This window comes from Homo sapiens, chromosome 1 (genome assembly GCF_000001405.40).
Source record: "Homo sapiens chromosome 1, GRCh38.p14 Primary Assembly".
Classification (NCBI taxonomy): Eukaryota; Metazoa; Chordata; class Mammalia; order Primates; family Hominidae; genus Homo; species Homo sapiens.
Genome location: NC_000001.11, coordinates 161403806 through 161423624, shown reverse-complemented (window position 1 = coordinate 161423624; position 19819 = coordinate 161403806). Strand labels below are relative to the sequence as shown.

Sequence of the window (19819 nt, the reverse complement as noted above, 5' to 3'; positions counted from 1 at the left end):
TCCCTCCTGGACGGAGCGGCTGGCCGGGCAGAGGGGCTCCTCACTTCCCAGTAGGGGCGGCCGGGCAGAGGCGCCCCTCACCTCCCGGACGGGGCGGCTGGCCGGGTGGGGGGCTGACCCCCCCACCTCCCTCCCGGACGGGGCGGCCGGCCAGGCAGAGGGGCTCCTCACTTCCCAGTAGGGGCGGCCGGGCAGAGGCGCCCCTCACCTCCCGGACGGGGCGGCTGGCCAGGTGGGGGGCTGACCCCCCCCACCTCCCTCCCGGACGGGGCGGCTGGCTGGGCGGGGGGCTGACCCCCCCCACCTCCCTCCCGGACGGGGCGGCTGGCCGGGCGGGGGGCTGACCCCCCCACCTCCCTCCTGGACGGAGCGGCTGGCCGGGCAGAGGGGCTCCTCACTTCCCAGTAGGGGCGGCCGGGCAGAGACGCTCCTCACTTCCCAGACGGGGTGGCTGCTGGGCGGAGGGGCTTCTCACTTCTCAGACGGCGCGGCTGCCGGGCGGAGGGGCTCCTCACTTCTCAGACGGGGTGGTTGCCGGGCGGAGGGGCTCCTCACTTCTCAGACGGGGCGGTTGCCAGGCAGAGGGTCTCCTCACTTCTCAGACGGGGCGGCCGGGCAGAGACGCTCCTCACATCCCGGACGGGGCGGCAGGGCAGAGGTGCTCCCCACATCTCAGACGATGGGCGGCCGGGCAGAGACTCTCCTCACTTCCCAGATGGGATGGCGGCCGGGAAGAGGCGCTCCTCACTTCCTAGATGGGATGGCGGCCGGGCAGAGACGCTCCTCACTTTCCAGACTGGGCAGCCAGGCAGAGGGGCTCCTCACATCCCAGACGACGGGCGGCCGGGCAGAGACGCTCCTCACTTTCCAGACTGGGCAGCCAGGCAGAGGGGCTCCTCACATCCCAGACGATGGGCGGCCGGGCAGAGACGCTCCTCACTTCCCAGACGGGGTGGCGGCCGGGCAGAGGCTGCAATCTCGGCACTTTGGGAGGCCAAGGCAGGCTGCTGGGAGGTGAAGGTTGTAGCGAGCCGAGATCACGCCACTGCACTCCAGCCTGGGCACCATTGAGCACGGAGTGAACGAGACTCCGTCTGCAATCCCGGCACCTCAGGATGCCGAGGCTGGTGGATCACTCGCGGTTAGGAGCTGGAGACCAGCCCGGCCAACACAGCGAAACCCCGTCTCCACCAAAAAAATACGAAAACCAGTCAGGCGTGGCGGCGCGCGCCTGCAATCGCAGGCAGTCGGCAGGCTGAGGCAGGAGAATCAGGCAGCAGTACCGTCCAGCTTCAGCTCCGCATCAGAGGGAGACCGTGGAGAGAGGGAGAGGGAGACCGTGGGGAGAGGGAGAGGGAGAAAAAGACATTCCTATAGGTTTCTAACATGTGCCTGAGGTGGTTGAGGCGTCTGTCCTAAGATCTTTTCTCAGAAGGTGCTGCCCACAGTGTCACCAGCCCTCCCTGGTGGTCTAGTGGCTAGGATTCGGCGCTTTCACCGCCGCGGCCCGGGTTCGATTCCCGGTCAGGGAAGTTTGCTTTTTTCCTTTCTGATATCACTGCAGTGGTTTCCACCAAAGCCATGTTCAGTGATCTTCAGTTCAAGGCGGTGAACACTGCATGTGCCTTTCAACCTCTCCCAGATGATCCTGAAGTCAGTCTTGAAAACCGCGGGGCAATGTCATTAGGGAGCCCTTGACAAGTAAGAACGTTGACAAGTTAGTGTTGTCAAGTAACTTGTCATCATAGGAGGTTCACTTTCGTCTATTCCTCTTACGGGTAAAGTTAACTAACTTATTACCATATAAAAATATGTTTCTATTTTTACAAAATACCAAACGAATTAAGAGAGGTTTTCCATGTTTCAAATATGCAAATTAGCATAACGGACTAGTTTGTTTTCCGATTTGGAACACCTGTTACCAGAGGAAACAGTAGCGCATCTGGTAAAATAACCTGGGCATCTACTACATCTCTGAAATGTAAACAAACCGCCCTTAGGGTTTAAATGAGAACTCGGCAGGAGGTCGGGGAGGGAGAATTACATTTATTCTTAAAACTGTGCCTATGCCAATTCATCAGACCTTTCTAGATTTAGAAGACATTTGAAATAACTCACTTGTTTCATGTAAAAATTACTTATATTGATTTTTAAAAATCAAGCCGGGAGCGTTGGCTCCCAGCACTTTGGGAGGCGGGCGGATCACGAGGTCAAAGATCGAGACCATCCTGGCCAACATGGTAAAACCCAGTCTCTACTAAAAATACAAAAATAAAAATACAAAAATTAGCTGGGCGTGGTGGTGCGGGCCTGTAGCCCCAGCTACTCGGAAGGCTGAGCTGTAGTCCCAGCTACTCCTTGAACTCGGGAGACGGAGGTTGCAATGAGCTGAAAGCGCACGACTGCACTCCAGCCTGGCGACAGAGCGAGACTCAGCCCCCAAGAAGTAAAAATAAAAATCAGTAATTCTCAATAGAGTGGGGCTGAGGTGAGTCTGAATCTGCCTACCTTTTTACTCCATACAGGCAGTCCCCATTCCCTGGATACTGATGTACAGGATGTCAGTAGTGCCTTGCAGAGAGGCGTGCCTGCAAGCAAACCTTAACTGCTCCGGAGGGCAGTGACAGCCGCAGCCACGGCGATAATAGAATGCGTGTGATCAAGAAAGCAAAGAAGCAAACTTTCCTAACCGGGAATTGAACCTGGGCGCTGGCAGTTAAAGCACTAGAATCCTAGCCACTAGACCACCAGGGAGAGACAGCTTAGTTACCTGGGCAGCACCTTTTGGAAAAATACCTTAGGACTGACGCTTTAACCACTGCAAGCGTAGGTTATAAACTTTTAGGAGTGTCTGGAAAATGTTCTTAAAATTTCAAATAATTAGCCGGCCAGGCGCGGCGGCTCACGCCTGCAGTCCCAGCACTTTGGGAGACCGAGGTGGGCAGATCACCTGAGGTCAGGAGTTCAAGACCAGCCTGGCCAACATGGTGAAACCCCGTTTCTACTAAAAATATAAAAAATTAACCAGGCATGGTGGCGGGCACCTGTAATCCCAGCTACTCCGGAGGCTGAGGCAGGAGAATCATTTGAACCCGGGAAGTGGAGGTTGCAGTGAGTCGAGATTGTGTCATTGCACTCCAGCCTGGGCAACAAGAGCAAAACTCTGTCTCGGAAAAAAAAAAAAATCATGCTAATTATTTAAATTCTTAATTTTTCTTTACATAGAATGACAAATAAGAGCAAATAAAAAGCCCCATCATAGGAAGGACTATGGAAGAAAGGAAAAAGCTTTATAGTTCACTACTCTTCACAGCACTTTTCTTGCTGCTTTTTTCAGAAGAGGTTGCATTTTCACTTTGCACTAGACCCGACAATTTATGTAGCTGATGCTGGTACCAGAAGGTAAGATCAGTTTCCTGGGGTACATTTTTGGTATAGTGGTTAAGGCTTTTTTCTCAAACTTCCCAGTGGGAGTTTAAGTCTTGGTTTTGTCCTTCATTTTTCTTCCTTCCCACTATTAAGCTCCTGTTGCTGTGGCCATCAAGATTTTCTATTGTTCTGGGGCTCAAGCAGACAAGGAACCCAAGAACACCCAGGCCACACCTTCCACCCAGGAGTCCAGCTGGGCCCTATGCCCAAATGATTGCTTTTTCTCTTTGCCCACTCCATCAAGGGTGACAGCTTCTTCCTAGTCAATTCTTTGCCATGGTCTCACTCCCCGCCTTCCTCAATCCAGAATCTGAGCAGGAAACGAATCTGGTCAAAGCACGTGGTTGGATTTTCGTGACCCAGTGCTTCCAAAAGGCCAAACCTCACCTCTGCTCCACCTGCCCCCACTCTTGGATCCAGCAGCCTCACACTTCCCAGGCCTCTGCCCTGACATCTGCCTCCCTAGAAGGATGAAGAGCAGTAGCGCCTGGAATTCCAACCATCTGCCACAGTCTTGCATGGCACAGGTGAGTTTTGTGGGAGATGGGGTGGGGTGGAGAGTAGACAACGTTTCTGGCATTTTCACAAATGGCCACTCTGATGCTGGCCTCTCGCTCTGTCCTGCCAGCAAAGGGTCAGACTAGGTGGTGGCCTGGGAGCAAATGGGGCATGAGCAATCAATGCTTCCTACCTATCTGGGCCCAGTGTAAAAGTGGGCAGTTAGAGGAGATGTTGTTGACTTTAGATTCATCTCCTTCCTCATTAGCATAGTTGGTGAGTATTCCCTTCTGTCCTGACAGATCTGGATTTGATCCCCCTGCCATTTAACTAATTTGTTACCACTTCACTTTTGTTTATACATTTTATTTCCTGGCTTACAATTAACCAATTCGTTACCATATAGATATATGGTTTTTATTTTACAAAAAAATCTAAACGGATTATGAGTTTACAAGCTCAGTAAAGTATTGGCTGGCTCTGGACTTCCCTAATAAGCCACATTAAACACCTGGTGACAGCTGCCAATGCAAAGGTCAAGGGCTGCTAATACCGGACTGCCTAGAACTCCATGATTTTAACTACTTTCAGGATTTCAAAGTGGGGGAAAGTTTTATTAATTACTAATACTATGACTGTGCTAATCCACCCATTCTAGATTTAGAATATTCCTGAGAGACTGCATGTTTCCGTGGCAAAATTAAACGTACTCAGGAGGCCAAGGCAGGAGGATCGCTTGACCCCAGGAGTTTGAGAGCAGACTGGGTAGCATAGCATAACATCTCTTAAAAAAAGAAAAAGAAGAAGAAATAGAGAAAAAATTAAACACAAGTATACATTAGTGATTCTCAACATGGGTGGGCCTAGTCCCCTTAAGGAGCATTTCAGAATTCCTCAGTGGACATCAGCCTTCGCGCAGCCTCCCTACCCATCAGGTGCTGATGAGGTTAGCAACCAGATGTTTGGCCTCCCCATTTGCTTCCCTTGAGAATTGTGGCTAGCGATATTAGGAGCTCACTACCATTCTTAATTTACCCCTTTGAGTAAACGATCAACATTTTTCTTTTAAACATGTATTTCAGGCCGGGTGCAGTGGCTCATGCCTGTAATCCCAGCACTTTGGGAGGCTGAGGCAGGCAGATCACTTGAGGTCAGGAGTTCCAGACCAGCTTGGCCAACATGGTGAAACCCCATCTCCACTAAAAATACAAAAATTAGCCAGGCATGGTGGTGCATGCCTGTAATCCCAGCTACTTGGGAGGCTGAGGCAGGAAAATCACTTGAACCCGGGAGGCAGAGGTTGCAGTTAGCTGAGATCATGCCACTGCACCCCAGCCTGGGTGACAGAGCAAGACTCTGCCTCAAAAAATAAACAAATAAATAAATAAATATATATATATATATATGTATGTATGTATGTATGTATTTCAGAAAGAAGAAATGATACTGGACTACAGAAGCATTACTGAGATGCTGTGGTCATCAGGCCAAGGGTCGTGGATGGGAATCTGTGGGGAGGCATTCCCCCATGCCCACAGTCCCCTCACTCTTTAGCCAGAGTATTGTTAGGTTTGGTTCTTGACCAAGGTCTCAGGCTCAACTCGTGTGTGTGCTTCAATATGGGTTGGTTCCTTCCTCCCTTCCTTCCTTCCTACCTCCCTCCCTCCCTTCTCTTTCTTTCTGTATTGAGGCCAGAGTCTCACTCATTGCCCAGGCTGGAGTGCAATGGTGTGATCTCGGCTCACTGCAACCTGCGCCTCCCGGGTTCAAGCGATTCTTCTGCCTGAGCCTCCAGAGTAGCTGGGATTACAGGCACCCACCACCACGCCCGGCTAATTTTGTATTTTAGTAGAGACAGGGTTTCACCATGTTGGTCAGGTTGGTCTCAAACTCCTGACCTCAGCTGATTCACTCGCCTCAGCCTCCCAAAGTGCTGGGATTACAGGTGTGAGTCACAGTGCCCAGCCTATTGATCTGTCTTTGAATTCACTAATCTTGTCTCCTGCTGTGTCCAATTTGCTGTTAAACCCATTCAGAGGGTTCTGTTCTAGAAGTTTTTGTCTCTATTCCAATTCTCTGTTGAAATTCTTCTCATCTACTTTCCATCTTTTCCTCTATTTTTTAAAAATAAAATTGTGATTATTTTAAAGTTCTTGCCTGTGAACTTAAACAATTGGCTTATATTTGTTTCTGCTTCTACTGTTTTCTTTTTTCTCTTGACCATTGGTCACATTTTCCTTTCTCTTCACATGTCTCCTAATTTTTATTGTATGCTGAACATTATGTAAAAAATAACTAGAGGCCAGGCTGGTGGCTCACACCTGTAATCCCAGCACTTTGGGAGGCCGAGGTGGGCAGATCATTTAAGGTCAGAAGTTCAAGACCAGCCTGGCCAACATGGTGAAACATGGTGAAACTTCATCTCTACTAAAAGTACAAAAATTAGCTGGGCATGGTGTCTTGTGCCTGTAATCCCAGCTATTCAGGAGGCTGAAGCAGGAGAATCACTTGAACCTCAGAAGTGGAGGTTGCAGTGAGCCAATATCATGCCACTGCACTCCAGCCTGGGCGACAGAGTGAGACTGTCTAAAAAAAAAAAAAAAAAAAAAAAAAAAAAAAAAATATATATATATATATATATATATATATAGAGAGAGAGAGAGAGAGAGAGAGAGAGAGAGAGAGAGAATATACATATATATACACCCAGCCTGGGTGACAGAGTGAGACTCTGTCTCAAAAAAAAAAGCTTTATATATATATATATATATATATATATATATATATATATATATATATAAAGCTTTTTTATATATAAAAAATATATTTTTATATATAATATAAAATTATATATATAAAATATATTTATATACATAAAAGCTTTTTTATATATATATATAAAGCTTTTTTTTTTTTTTGAGACAGAGTCTCGCTCTGTCACCCAGGCTAGAGTGCAGTGGCGCCATCTTGGCTTACTGCAAGCTCCGCCTCCCGGGTTCACGCCATTCTCCTGCCTCAGCCTCCAGAGTAGCTGGGACTACAGGTGCCCACCACCACACCCGGCTAATTTTTTGTATTTTTAGTAGAGACGGGGTTTCACCATGTTAGCCAGGATGGTCTCGATCTCCTGACCTCATGATCCGCCCGCCTCTGCCTTCCAAAGTGCTGGGATTACAGGCGTGAGCCACCACGCCCAGCCAAAAAAGCATATTTTTCTCTTTTTCTTTTCTTTTTTTTTTTTGAGAAGGATTCTCACTCTGTCGCCCAGGCTGGAGTGCAGGGGCACAATCTCGGCTCACTGCAACCTTCGCCTCCCGGGTTCAAATGATTCTCCTGCCTCAAACTCCTGAGTAGCTGGGACTACAAGCATGAGCCACCACGCCCAGCTAACTTTTGTATTTTTTAGTAGAGATGGGGTTTCACCGCGTTGGCCAGCCTGGTCTCGAACTCCTGACCTCAAGTGATCCACTCGCCTTGGCCTCCCAAAGTGCTGGGATTACAAGGGTGAGCCACCATGCCCGGCCAAAATACATGTTTTTCTTGAGTTGTCTTTGTCTCATGGATTTGTAGGAGTAGTTTTGATATTATGTTGTGAATATCTTCACCCCAGTCAGTCCTCTTCTATTTCTCCCAAAAGGTATTGTATACTTTCACTTTTTTTCCCTCTTATCACTCACGGGCACACAAAATTGATTCAATCATCTCCCTCAGTTTATTGCACTTTATTTATTTATGTATTATTTATTTATTTTGAGATGGAGTCTCACTCTGTCACTCAAGCTGGAGTGCAAGGGCATGATCTTGGTTCACTGCAACCTCTGCTTCCCAGGTTCAAGCGATTCTCCTGCCTCGGCCTCCTGAGTAGTGGGGACTACAGGCATGCGCCGTCATGCCTGGCTAATTTTTGTATTTTTAGTAGAGACAGGATTTTTCCACGTTGGCCAGGCTGGTCTCAAACTCCTGACCTCAAGAGATCCACCCTTCTCAGCCTCCCAAAGTGCTGGGATTACAGGCATGAGCCACCCCGCCCAGCCCTATTGCTCATTATAATCATTGATTGGGTAAGATCCCTGTTCTGTTATATTGTCTCATTATTTTCTCCTCATCTCCCATTCTTACACCAATTCCTCTCCCCTACAATGCACCCAGTTTTGTATATTTAGTCTGTTTTTTAAATATACATATTATTTCTAAAAATATTAGGCCAGGCACGGTGGCTCATGCCTGTAATCCCAGCACTTTGGGAGGCCCAGGCAGGTGGATCACCTGAGGTCAGGAGTTCAAGACCAGCTTGGCCAACATCGTGAAACCCCGTCTCTACAAAAATACAAAAAAATTAGCCAGGCATGAAGGCAAGTGCCTGTAATCCCAACTACTCAGGAGGCTGAGGTGGGAGTATCGCTTGAACTCAGGAGGGGGAGGTTGCAGTGAGCCAAGATTGTGCCACTGTACTCCAGCCTGGGTGACAGAGACTCCACCTCAAAAAAAAAAAAAAAAATGAATCTGGAGATATAAAAGGTATCAGTGTTTGTGTATGTGAGAGTGTGTTTATTTAACAAAATGCAATATTGTATATTTGCAAAAATGGGTTTCTGCTATGAATTTTATGCTATTTCCTACTCCCTTTTCACTGTTTTTGTGAAAACAGTGTATTTTTATTCTCTCTCTTTTGCATCAGTAAACCAAGCCTAAGTAAATCTATGCATTAGTGATGGACATCTGGACTGCCTCCAATTCTCACCATCACACACAGTCCTGTCATGAATATTCTGATACATGTCTCCTTATAGACCTAGGTGCTAGTTTCTCTTAGATATAGAGTTAGAAGGATTGCTGAGTCTTAAAGCATACAGTTACTTAAATACTTCCAGGTTGCTTCCCAACGTGCTATACCTGTTTAATTCCCATCAGCAGGACATGAGACTTCCCATTTGCCTATGTTTTATTTTATTTTATTCTATTCTATTTTTTTTTTTTTTTTTAGACAGAGTCTCACTCTGTCACCTAGGCTGGAATGCAATGGCATGATCTCAGCTCACTGCAGCCTCTGCCTCCCAGGTTCAAGCGACTCTCCTGCCTCAGCCTCCCGAGTATGTGGGATTACAGGCATGGACCACCATGCCCAGCTAATTGTTGTATTTCTAGTAGAGATGGGATTTCACCATATTCATCAAGCGGGTCTCAAACTCCTGACCTCAGGCGATCCACCCGCCTCAGACTCCCAAAGTGCTTGGATTACATGCACGAGTCACTGTGCCCGGCCTCTCATTTGCCTATATGTTACCCAAGACATGACTTTCTAATGTTTACCAAAGATATAAATTGGTATCTCGCCATTTTAATTTATTTCCATTTCTCTGATTACTAGTGAGGTTCATCATTCTTCATATTTTTAGCTACTTAGCTTTCCCCTTCTTAAGTTGGACTATTCACATTCTTTACCCATTTTTTTATGTTAGGTTTCCTGTTGGGTATTTTCTTTTCTTTCTAATTTCAGAAGTTCCTTGTATCTTCTAGAATCTAATTATAAATCCCTTGTTTTAGATATCATATCTTCTCCTTGTTATTATCTCTTCGTCCATGATGTGCCTCATTGAAGTCTTTCATATCGAGTTGCTCAGATTCATCCATTTATTTTCCCTCTATGCTGTATGGTTTTACGATCTTCTATTTTAAAAATTCTTTCCCACCCCAAGGTAACAAAAACGTTATTCTGAATTTTTGTCTATTAGCTTCATGGTTTCATCTTTGACTTTTTGATATCTAATCTATTGGAAAGTGGTAACTGTGTGAGTTATAATCCAATTTTATTTTCCCAACATACTGTAAGTCAGTTTTCTCAAGATTATCCGCTAAACAACTCATTAATTCAAATATTATATCATATATGAAATTTCTGTTCACACTCAGGTCTGTTTCTGGATTCTGTATTCTGTTCCATTGGGTACTTATTTATTCTTGTGTCAGTGCTACACAGTTTTTAAAATTTACTATGGCTATTGTCTTTTTTTTTTTTTTAATAGAGATGAGGGTATCGCCATGTTTGTTGCCCAGGCTGGTTTCAAACACCTGAGTTCTGAAGGGGGCTAGCCCCTCCACACCTGTGGGTATTTCTCCTCAGGTGGGACAAGAGACTGAGAAAAGAAATAAGACACAGAGACAAAGTATAGAGAAAGAACAGTGGGCCCAGGGGACTGGCGCTCAGCATACAGAGGACCCGCACTGGCACTGGTCTCTGAGTTCCCTCAGTATTTATTGATCACTATCTCTACCATCTCGGAGAGGGGGATGTGGCAGGACAATACGGTAATAGTGGGGAGAGGGTCAGCAGGAAAACATATGAGCAAAGGTCTCTGTGTCATAAATAAGTTTGAGGAAAGGTGCTGTGCCTTGATGTGCATGTACACAAACATCTCGGTGCATTAAAGAGCAGTATTGCCACCAGCATGTCTCACCTCCAGCCCCAAGGCGGTTTTCTCCTATCTCAGTAAATAGAACGTACAGTCGGGTCTTACACCGAGACATTCCATTCCCAAGGATGAGCAGGAGACAGATGCCTTCCTCTTATCTCAACTGCAAAGAGGCCTTCCTCTTTCAGTAATCCTCCTCATCACAGACCCTTTAAGGGTGTGGGGCTGGGGGACAGTCAGGTCTTTCCCTTCCCATGAGGCCATATCTCAGGCTATCAGATGGGGAGAAACCTTGGACAATATCTGGCTTTCCTGGGCAGAGGTCCCTGCAGCCTTCCGCAGTATATGTGTCCCTGGGTACTCGCGAGTAGAGAATGGCAATGACTTTTACCAAGCATACTGCGTTCAAACACTTTTTTTAACAAAGCACATCCTGCACAGCCCTAAATCCATTAAACCTTGAGTCAATGGCCAGGCGCTGTGGCTCACGCCTGTAATCCCAGCACTTTGGGAGGCCAAGGTGGGCGGATCACGAGGTCAGGAGATGGAGACCATCCTGGCTAACACGGTGAAACCCTGTCTCTACTAAAAATACAAAAAATTAGCCGGGTGTTGTGGCGGGTGCCTGTAGTCCCAGCTACTCGGGAGGCTGAGGCAGGAGAATGTGGTGAACCCCAGAGGCGGAGCTTGCAGTGAGCGGAGATGGCGCCACTGCACTCCAGCCTGGGAGACAGAGTGAGACTCTGTCTCAAAAAAAAAAAAAACCTGGAGTCAACACAGCACATGTCTCTGGGGCACAGGGTTGGGGCTAGGGTTACAGATTAACAGCATCTCAAGGCAGGCAGAAGAGTTTTTCTTAGTACAGAACAAAATGCAGTTTTTTTGGTTTTTTTTGAGACGGAGTCTCACTCTGTCGCCCAGACTGGAGTGCAGCGGCGCAATCTCGGCTCACTGCAACCTCTGCCTCCTGGGTTCAAGCGATTCTCCTGCCTCAGCTTCCCGAGTAGCTGGGACTACACATATGCGCCACCATGCCTGGCTAATTTTGTATTTTTAGTAGAGACGGGGTTTCACCATGTTGGTCAGGTTGGTGTAAACTCCTGATCTCAGGTGATCCACCCACCTCAGCCTCCCAAAGTGCTGTGATTACAGGCGTGAGCCACCGCGCCTGGTCAGAGCTTGTAGATTTTTTTCTTTTTTTTTTTTTGACAGTCTCGCTCTATCGCCCAGGTTGGAGTGCAGTGGCGTGATCTTGGCTCACTGCAAGCTCTGCCTCCCAGGTTCATGCCATTCTCCTGCTTCAGCCTCCTGAGTAGCTGGGACTACAGGCACCCGCCACCATACCTGGCTAATTTTTTTGTGTTTTTAGTAGAGAGGGGGTTTCGCCGTGTTAGCCAGGATGGTCTCCATCTCCTGACCTTGTGATCCACTCGCCTCGGCCTCCAAAAATGCTGGGATTACAGACATGAGCCACCACGCCTGGCTGAGCTTGTAGATTTTCAATGGAAACTGGGTTTGGCTGTGAGATGTGACAGTTGCAGATCTCTTAAGTATCCTTATGTTGCAGTGATGCTAAAAGTGCCACTCATTCAGTCCAAGTAAAGAACAAGTCCTTTGAAATGACAATTCCACAGTTTCAGAATTTATGCAGACAATTCAAGGAGATTGCTGCAGTTATTGAAACTATGTGAAATGGATTATTTGGTTGATAAATTACTATCATTCTAAAGTCATGGACTTCACTTTCTGCAACAAAACCGCATAAGAATGAAGTATTTATTGAATGAAAAATTGCACTTTTGTTTTTTTTCTTTTTTTTGAGATGGAGTTTCACTCTTTGTTGCCCAGGCTGGAGTGCAGTGGCATGATCTCGGCTCACTGCAACCTCTGCCTCCCAGGTTCAAGGGACTCTCCTGCTTCAGCCTCCTGAGTAGCTGAGATTACAGGTGCCCACCACCACACCCCGCTAATTTTTGTATTTTTAGTAGAGATGGGGTTTCACCATGTTGGCCAGGCTGGTCTCGAACTCCTGACCTCAGGTGATCCGCCCAGCTCGGCCTCCCAAAGTGCTGGATTACAGATGTGCGCCACCACATCCAGCTGTTTTTCCATTTTTAAAAATAATTTTAAAAATTCAGACAAAAAAAAGATAATAGCGGCCAGGCTCATTAGCTCACAGCTGCAATCCCAGCACTTTGAGAGGGTGGGTGGATCACTTGAGCTTGTGGGGGAAAGAAAGAGAGATCAGACTGTTACTGTGTCTATGTAGAAAGAAGTAGACATAAGAAACTGCATTTTGTGCCAGGTGCCTTGAACCCAGGAGCTGAGAACGTGCTAAGGAAGGAGACCACTACTACTCCTGCTGCCCTCCTCCCCCCACCTTGCCTAGTTCACAAGACAGGAGGAAAGAGAGAAAGCCAAAAGTTGGAAAAAAAACAAAAGTGAGATAAATAGCCAGACAATCTTGACACCACCACCTGGCCCTAGGAGTTAAAAAAAGTTATAATAATAACATCAACCCCTGACCTAAACTACTTGTGTTATCTATAAATTCCAGACACTGTATGAAAAAAGCACTGTAAAACTTTTTGTTCTGTTAGCTGATGCATGTAGCCCCCAGTCACGTTTCCCACGCTTGCTCAATTTATCACGACCCTTTCATGTGGACCCCTTAAAGTTGTAAGCCTTTAAAAAGGCCAATAATTTCTTTTTCGGGGAGCTCAGCTCTTAAGGCGCAAGTCGGCTGATGCTCCCGGCAGAATAAACCACTTCCTTCTTTAATCCGGTGTCTGAGGAGTTTTGTCTGTGGCTCGTCCTGCTGCATTTCTTGGTTCCCTGACCAGGAAGTGAGGGGATTAATGGAAGGCCAAGGCAGCCCCTTAGGCAGCTTAGGTCTGCCCTGTAGAGCATCCCTGCGGGGGACTCTGGCCAGCTTGAGCCATGCAGATCCTGAGAGCGCTCCCAGGTAGGCATTTGTCCTGGTGGAATGCCTTGTCAGAGCAGTGCACAGCAGGCCCCCGCAGAGGATCAATGCAGTAGCTGAACACCGGGAAGGAACTGGCACTTTAAGTCCAGACATCTAAAACTTGGTAAGACTGGTCTTTGGATCTTGCCCACTCCATTTGAGTGGAAGCATGGCCTGATCACCCATGGCGTGCCTGTACCAGCACTTTGGTTTTTGTTTTTGACTTGACTTGAATTGCTTGACTCTTTGGTTTTAGTTTTGATTTTGATTTGACTTGAATTGCTTGATAAACAGGCATGCCTTTATTGGCACTTTGGTTTTGGTTCTGATTTTGACTTGGCTTAAATTGCTTGATGAACAGGTGTGCCTTTAACAACACTTTGGTTTTCGTTTCGATTTTGATTTAGTGTGAATTAGACAAGTGAGTGACCTTTTACCCTTTCCTTCTTGTAGTGTGAATGTTGTTTTGTCTCAAGAGAAAAATAGGTCAGACACAAAGTAAGCCCACTCCGCTAGGAACTGTGTAAAAAATTTTCAAAAAGAAAAATAAAAGGATAGTCATCAAATCATCAAAACTTACTCTATTAAAATGTATGTTACAGAACCTTAAGAAAGGTTTCACAGGAGATTACAGAGTTAAGTTAACCCCCTAGAGGTTAGGAACTCTGTGTGAATTAGAATTGCCCTCTTTTGGTGTTGGATGGCCCACCGAAGGAACTATAGACAGGGAACAATTGGCCATGTATTTAAGGTGGTGACAGGGGTCAGAGGACAGCCAGTGTACCTAGATTAAATTCCTTTATATTGACTCATGGTTAAATATAATATAGACAAAACCAGCATAAATTTAGCCCTGTTTAACAGCTTATTGCAAAAAAGCCAAAAGTAAAAGTAAGAGCAGCTTCGCCAGCAGTCAGAGTTAAAAAGGGAGTCCCAGAAACAGCAAAAGAAGCCAGTTTTGCAGGAGCCACCAAAGATAATAGAAATTATTTCTCCACATATCCCAGCCTACCCACCTTTACTGAAGCCAACAGCCCCCTCAGAAATGAGATTCAGGAGCTAACAGGCCCCAGGTCTCACCTCGAAGGGGAGGATTGGAGCCTCGAGAGGCCAAGGAAGAAGGTCAAGATAGTCAAGTGGGCCGTCTCAGATCTGGTCTTGCTGGAGCTATGCAAATGCCTCTCAGGAAGACACCAGGACCTGTCTATTATAATGACCAGGCCCACATCTTGGGGGGCAACAGACTTTCATCTATCAGCCCTTTTCAACCATTGATCTACTAAACTGGAAACACCCTGAACCTGCCACCTTGCTCCCAGCAGCTAGAGCCCTGTCGAGCATAACAGTGCAGAGGTGTTGGACTCAAGTTTACTCTAGCAGACCTGACCTCCGGGACCAGCCTTGGGCATCAGTAGACTGGGAGCTATACAGCTTCATCAACCCACAAGGAGAGAGATATGCAGAATATGCAGTGGTAACCCTGGACACTGTTGTTAAGCTGAGCTCATTGCTTTAATTCGGGTCTTAGAACTCAGTGAAGGTAAGACTGTAAACATTTACACTGACTCTCAGTATGCCTGTTTAACCCTCCAAGTGCATGAAAAATTATATAAAGAAAAGGGCCTGTTAAACTCCAGGAAAAAGGGGAAAAAAGGCCCAGAGAATGCAACTCAGCTTCAGTGTTTGCAGAGGTACTGAGAAGCACTTCTGCAGAGGTTAAGAGTTGGTAGAAAAAAGCAAGTAATATAAAAAAGATTTCAGGAATGCTTTAAGGAGCTGGCAAGAGCCTAAGTCAGTTTTATAAGAGACTCTATACAGCATTCTGGCTTTACACCCCATTTAACCCTGAGGCTGCTGAAAATCAGTATATAGTGAATACTTCATTTGTAAAGCAAGCCTACGGTAACAGCAAGCAGAAGCTGCAGGCATGAATACCACCTAGTCTATAAAAGTGGCCACCAAGGTGTACGTTAACTGTGACCAAGGAACAAAACTGGGAAAGAGCAAAAGAAAAAGAAAGACTAAGTGTGAAAAAGAGAATCAGAAGGAAACAGGAGAGACAGACAGCAGTGCGTGGGGGCAGGGCCCGTGCCATTGCCCGGCCCCACCAGCTGGCTGTAGGAGCAGGAGAACTCAGAAAAAAAAAAAAAAAAAAAGTAAATTAAAGACTTAAGAAGAAAAAGCCAATATGTTAGCAACAGCTCTTATAAAAAAAATTAGCAATGTGAGAGGACATGGACGTGGATGTAGACAAGAAAGAAGTCAAGTTAGGCAAGTATTCAAGAGCCAGACAAGGCTAGAGAGAGAATAATGTATGAGATGCAAAAAGAAAGGACACTAGAAGGGTAAATGTTCAGAAGGCAATAAAGGAAATGGCCAAGGCCGCAAGACAAAGAGGCCATCGGCCAAGGGCAGCTGCACCTTGGAGGAACCAAATACTGATCTGATCAGGCTGACAGGAGCTGAAGAATGTAAAGACTAGGGCAGACTAGGCACCTTCTCATTAGGCTCCCAGGAGCCCATGGTCACATTAGAAGTTAAAAGCAGCAAGATTCTGCCGTATCTGTATTCCAGCTTCTCACTGAAGGCTAAGCCACTAGATAAAGTTACAAAGGCCGGGTGGGGGGAAGAAACCCTCCTCTAAGAAACTTAAACAGGACAAAGAGCCATACCTTGTGAAAACTTGCTCATGGACTTTACAGAACTGCCCCGTGCTGGAGGCTATCGGTACATGCTAGTGCTTCTTTGCACCTTTTCAGGGTAAGTTAAAGTTTTCCCCACCAGGACAGAAAAAGTACAAGAAGTGACTAGAGTACTGTTAAAAGACATTATCCCCAGGTTTAGACTACCTCTAACTTTAAAGTTAGACAATAGGCCAGCATTTGTAGCTGAAATAGTGCAAGATTTAACAAGACTGTTAAAAATAAAATGGAAGTTACACACAGCCTATCGGCCACAAACTTCAAGAAAAGGTGGAACACATGAACTGGACACTCGAGCAGCTACTGAAAAAAATATTGCCAGGAAATTCATTTAAGATAAAATCAGGTTTTTGCCTACGGTCCTCCTCCGAGTCAGGTGCACCCCCAACAAACAAACTAGGTATTTGCCGTATAAGATTTTGTTCGGTCGGCCACCCCTAAATCATAGGTCAAATTAAAGGTGACCTCCAGAAACTAAAGGAATTAACCTTTTTTTAATGCTTAATTCACTTTATTTTTCTTGTATAAAAACTCTATGTTGTAGCCACAGCTGGAGCCTGGGTCCGCTGCACGGAGACTCTGGTGTGGGTCTTGATGAGGTGGTCAGTGAATTCCTGATAGGGAGACTTGGTAAATACAGTCTCCTTCCAGAGGTCAGGGGTCAGGTAGCTGTAGGTCTTAGAAATGGCATCAAAGGTGGCCTTGGAGAAGTTGCCCAGGGTGGCAGTGCAGCCCTGGGCTGAGGTGTAGCAGTCATCGATACCAGCCATCATGAGCAGCTTCTTGGGCACAGGTGCGGAGACGATGCCAGTGCCCCTGGGTGCAGGCATAAGGTGCACCAGCACGGAGCCGCTGCGGCCTGTCACCTTGCAAGGGACGGTGTGGGGCTTGCTGATCTTGTTACCCCAGTAGCCTCTGCGCACGGGGACAATGGAGAGCTTGGCCAGGATGATGGCCCCACGGGTGGCGGTGGCCACCTCCTTGGAGCACTTAACACCCAGACCAACGTGGCCATTGTAGTCCCCGATAGCAACAAACGCCTTGAACCTGGTGCGCTGGCCGACACGGGTCTGCTTCTGCACTGGCATAATCTTCAAAACCTCATCCTTGAGAGAGGCCCCCAGGAAAGAGTCAATGATCTCTGATTCCATATTTCTGCATCTCAATCGTTTCTTCATATTTGCCTTTTTCCTCTTGTTTGGTGAGATGTGGCTTTCCACTCAGGTTTCCTTTTGCTTTGTCCAGCTTTGGCCTAGCCATGACCACCACACCTTGCTTAATGGGCAGGGAGAAGACATAGATCTCCTCCAGGGACTTGATCTTCATGTCCTTGACAAAGCGGCCCAGCTTTGTGACAGGCATCCACTCCTTATCCTTGGCCTTGCCTCCGCGATCTCCAGGGCCTTGGCCCCAGCCCCGTCCATGGCCGCGACCCCGGTTCTGGATGCCACTGCCAAAACCTCCGTGGAAGCCACCACGGTTCCCTATCCCAGGGCCACCAGGGCCTCCGGGCCCCCCCCCCCCCCACCCGCTGCACCGGTGTCATCCGCCATTTGTTGTTTTCTCGCAGAAGAAGAGGAATTAACCTTAAGAAAGCAAATGCAGGCTTTAAAAATAGCCATACAAAGTGTTCATAATTAAATAAATGAAAATGCCTATAAGCCAGACACCCCTTTAAATCTAGTGACTCTGTTTAAAGCAAAATCTAATTTTTCTAGGATCCATATAGCATGGGCCCTATACTGTAACCTTGTCCACTCCCACTGCTGTTAAAGTTGCAGGTGTGGTGTCTTGGATCCACCACAGTTGGCTAACACCAGCAGCTCAAGACAAGTAGCAGCCAGCAGGATGCAGATTATCCAACCCTGATGATCCTGAGATGAGACCAAACTGCTGCTGAGGATGACAGCCGTGCTCTGGTCACTCCAGAGGCTGACCAGTCTGCGCATGGCTGAACCTTGAGGAGACAACAAGCCCTGCTCTAGTCACACACCGGCAGCTGACTAGTCTATGCACAGCCGAAGCTTGAGGACTCATCAAGCAAGTAAATGTAGTTAAAAATCTTAAGACTAATAGTTTTCCTGTAATATTGTTTTCCTATTGTTCTGTCACTGTATTCAACCTTTTTCCCAGTAAGGACCTCTTTTGTCCTTGCTGGATATGAATATGCTGTACATTGTTTTGTTGTTGCTACCCCCCCCATAACCATGCTAGAAGAAACATCTATATAAGGTGTCCCCACTGTACACATACTACTTAGGAAACCCAGACCCATCCAGCCCAGCAACAATTCCAAGTCTTTCAGTCATTCTTTAAACATATAAACCAGAAGTTACCAGAACCTCCTCCTTTAGCAAAAAAGGAAAAAACCTATTTGCTCAGCTGGCTGAAAACATTGCTGGCAGCCTAGATGTTTCTTCATGTTATGTTTAAAAAAAGGCTAACATAAGAGACCAATGGCCTTGAGAAGCAAAAGAGTTAATGCCTCGAAGATAACTTCAACTAGCTCTTTCCCCAAAGAGACGCCACAAGTTCAAGTGTCTGGCTCTTAAAATCTTCTATTATTAAAAAATACTGTGTTATTCTCTAGGAAAAAGCTTTTAAGACCCAGTTAATAAACTAACCTGCTTAGGACATGACAAAGTTGATACATGTGCATATACAGGTTTAACACAGGTTTGATCCTAGGTCTTTATTTAGAAAATAGTTTCCAGCTACAAAAAATTTAAAACCCTCACTGTAAGTGCATTACTAGTAATAGCAACTTGCTTGCTGCTCCCCTGTGTATTACGCTTGCTCTTTCAAACGATAAAAGGTTTTGTAACTACCATGGTTTGTCAGAAAACTTCAACACGAGTGTATTACATAAAACATTATCACTCTGTCTTGCAAAAAGACTCAAAAGGTAAAAATAAAAGTGAGAACTCCCACTAATTAGTGAAAATTCTCAAAGTGGGGGATAAGGAAGGAGACCACTACTACTCCTGCTGCCTCCCCCCCATCTTGCCTAGTTCACAAGACAGGAGAAAAGAGAGAAAGCAAAAAGTTGGAAAAAAAAAAAAAAAGATAAATAGCCAGACAACCTTGACACCACCACCCAGCCCTAGGAGTTAAAAAAAGTAATAATAATAACATCAACCTCTGACCTAAACTACTTGTGTTATCTGTAAATTCCAGACACTGTATGAAAAAAGCACTGTAAAACTTTCTGTTCTGTTAGCTGATGCATGTAGCCCCCAGTCACGTTTCCCACATTTGCTCGATTTATCACGACCCTTTCATGTGGACCCCTTAAAGTTTTAAGCCTTTAAAAAGGCCAAGAATTTCTTTTCCGGGGAGTTCGTCTCTTAAGACGCAAGTCGGCCGACGCTCCCGGCCAAATAAACCACTTCCTTCTTTAATCCGGTGTCTGAGGAGTTTTGTCTGCAGCTGGTCCTGCTACAGTGCCACTGCACTCCAGCCCAGGCAACAAAGAGCAAAACTCCATCTCAAAAAAAAGAAAAGAAAAGAAAATCTACAAGCTAGTTGGTGACCTTGGACTTGGCATCCAGTGGCAGCTCACTGGACTCCTCCATGGGAGGTGTCTGGAGCTGGCATCGTGGACTCGAGCAAACACTTCCCCCCTCCCCCAGTTATCAGTTACAATGAGTCTCCTTATTTTCTTTTGTCAAAATTCCGTTGATTATCCATGGACTTATGCATTCATATAAATTTTACAATCAGTTGTCAAGTTATATAAGCCATTCTGTTGATATATTGATATCGCATGGGTCTTGCAGGAGAACATGGAGGAAATTCACATCTTTATAATACTA

The 19819-nt window shown here is 46.3% G+C and overlaps 1 non-coding gene and 3 pseudogenes across 1 annotated transcript, besides 1 other annotated feature; 2 read left to right on the top strand and 2 right to left on the bottom strand.

Annotated features, from left to right (window-relative positions):
* Positions 1453 to 1602: a silencer, noted in NCBI's record as "silent region_1479". NCBI's record gives its function as "represses an Ori minimal core promoter by ATAC-STARR-seq in GM12878 lymphoblastoid cells {active_cell/tissue: GM12878}" and the evidence as "EXISTENCE:reporter gene assay evidence [ECO:0000049][PMID:35858748]".
* On the top strand, positions 1461 to 1532 carry TRE-TTC4-2 (tRNA-Glu (anticodon TTC) 4-2). The gene has a single exon. It is a non-coding gene; the product is annotated as a tRNA-Glu (tRNA).
* On the bottom strand, positions 2682 to 2754 carry TRUND-NNN3-1 (tRNA-undetermined (NNN) 3-1; annotated as a pseudogene).
* On the top strand, positions 5547 to 12028 carry COMMD6P1 (COMMD6 pseudogene 1; annotated as a pseudogene).
* Positions 16504 to 17580, bottom strand: LOC148430 (ribosomal protein S2 pseudogene; annotated as a pseudogene).